The sequence below is a fragment of the Homo sapiens genome, chromosome 2 (assembly GCF_000001405.40).
Source record: "Homo sapiens chromosome 2, GRCh38.p14 Primary Assembly".
Taxonomy (NCBI): Eukaryota; Metazoa; Chordata; class Mammalia; order Primates; family Hominidae; genus Homo; species Homo sapiens.
The window spans coordinates 169,477,099-169,479,427 of record NC_000002.12 but is presented as its reverse complement, the minus strand read 5'-3'; the positions used below and the strand labels follow the sequence as shown (position 1 = coordinate 169,479,427).

Here is a 2,329-nt window from a genome sequence, read left to right as displayed (position 1 = left end):
GAGAGTGCGCGCGCGTCGCCCAGCTCTTTCGCGTCGTTAAGCCGATTTGAGATGCGAGGCAGGATTTAGGAGTCTCTGAGAAGCCCAGCTGTGTCCGCCAAGGGGAGCGTGCCTGACCTCTGGGCGACCTTCCTTGCCTCCAAACAGACATCCTTTAGCCATTTTACCCCTCTCCTTATTTCTCTTCACCGTCAAGAGATTCAGGTTATTAGCCGGGCATGGTGGCTTCTGCCTGTAATCCCTGCAGTTTGGGAGGCCGAGGCTGGAGGATCACTTGAGGCCAGGAATTCGAGACTAGCCTGGGCAACATAGCGAAACTTCATCTCTACAAACACAAACAAACAAACAAAACCAACCCAAAATTAGCCAGGGGTGGTGGTGCACGCCTGCAGGCTCAACTACTCGGGAGGCTGAGGCGGGAGGATCTCTTGAACCCAAGAGGTGGAGGCTGCGGGGAGCTATGATCGTGCCTCTGCCCTCCAGCCTAGGTGATAGAGATATAGGATCAACAGGTTCGTATGCCTGCTGTGCAGTAACAAACCCATTACACGAAGACAGCAGAGTTTGCAGCAGGGAAAGAGTTTAATGATTGCAGGGCACCTAGCAAAGAGATGGGAAGAGATCCTCGAATCTATCTTCCCAAGAGTTCTGGGCTGAGGTTTTTAAGAGGATCACAGAGGGCGAGGGGCTGGAAAATTGGGGTCCTTGATTGGTCGGAGTAAGGGAGATGAAATCATCAGGATAGGGAAGCTGCATTCTTTGCTGAATCAGTTTCTCACGGGTTCCTCAGACCAGCTGGCATCAGTGGGATCCTTCAGGCCAGCTGAGGCAGTAGTTTCATTGGTATGCAGGATCTGAAAGACTATCTCAAAGGGAAAACTGAGTATTTCATAATGTTCAAGTTGTTCTCTATAGAGCAATAGAAGGGAACTATAATCTTGTGACAGGGTCTGCATGATTCTAGGACAATAGGCACCAAACAACTCTGAGCAAGCAGGTCAGAGAGGAAGCTGACCTCATGATTAATGCCGAATTGGCTGCAAGCTTGGTTTATTTTTGTCCCCTCCCCCACACTTTCTTCCCTGATTACTTTTATAAATTTTATTGGGATGGTTTTAGAATGAGGAAAAAAGAAATTTAGAGTTAAAGCTTCAAATTCCTTACCTGGGCCTAGCTCAATGTGGCCCTGCCTATGTCTGCAACCTCCAACCACCCTCACTTCTGGCTGCTCTCTTGCCAGACAGGGCTCAGAGACTTTGGAGGGCCCCCTTCCTTTGCCTGGAACACTGTTTCCCCAGACCTCTGCATAGGCCTGCCCTTTGTCACTTAAATCTCTGCTTGGGCTGGGCGCTGTGGCTCAGGCCTGTAATCCCAGCACTTTGGGAGGCCGAGGTGGGCGGATCACCTGAGGTCAGGAGTTCGAGACCAGCCTGGCCAACATGGTGAAACCCCATCTCTACTAAAAACCCCAAATTAGCTGGGCACGGTGGTGGACGCCTGTAATCCCAGCTACTCGGGAGCCTGAGGCAGGAGAATCACTTGAACCCGGGAGGCGGAGGTTGCAGTGAGCCGAGATCACACCATTGCACTCCAGCCTGGGCAACAAGAGCGAAACTCTGGCTCCAAAAAAAAGTCAAATCAAATCAAATCAAATCACATCTCAGCTCACATGTCAACTCCAGCAGTCCCTGATCCTTCTGCCCCACCTGCTGTGAACAACCCGAGGACAGACACCTGATCTATCTAGTTGACTGCTTTGAACAATACCCAGCACAGAGTAGGACCCAGTAAATACTTCTTGAATGAATCAAAGTCCCTTTTCTCAATGCATGACAATTATTTAAATTAGTGGTTCACAAAGACTGATCTGGATCCCTACAGGGGGCCCACAAGGTCAAACTATATTCATAATAATGTGAAGACATCATTTGCCTTTTTAACTCCCATTCACATATAGTGGAGTTTTCCAGAGGCTATATGATTTTGTTGTTGTTGTTGTTGTTGTTGTTGTTGTCTTACAGGGTCTCATTCACCCAGGCTGAAGTACAGTGGCACGATCACAGCTCACTGTAATCTCAAGCTCCTGAGCTTAAGTGATACTCCCGCCTCAGCCTCCCGAGTAGCTGGGACTACGGGCATAGTCCTGGCTAATTTTTTATTTCATTTTATTTTATTTGTAGAGACAGGGTCTCTCTGTGTTTCCCTGGCTGGTCTCAAACTCGTAGCCTCAAGTGATCCTCCTGCTTTAGCCTCCCAAAGCACTAGGATTATAGGTAAGAGCCACCATACCCAGGCATGATGATTGAATGTGGAAGCAGGTATGAGAATC

At 48.9% G+C, this 2,329-nt stretch overlaps 1 annotated feature.

Moving 5' to 3' along the window:
- Window positions 11-120: an enhancer, noted in NCBI's record as "active region_16737". NCBI's record gives its function as "activates an Ori minimal core promoter by ATAC-STARR-seq in GM12878 lymphoblastoid cells {active_cell/tissue: GM12878}" and the evidence as "EXISTENCE:reporter gene assay evidence [ECO:0000049][PMID:35858748]".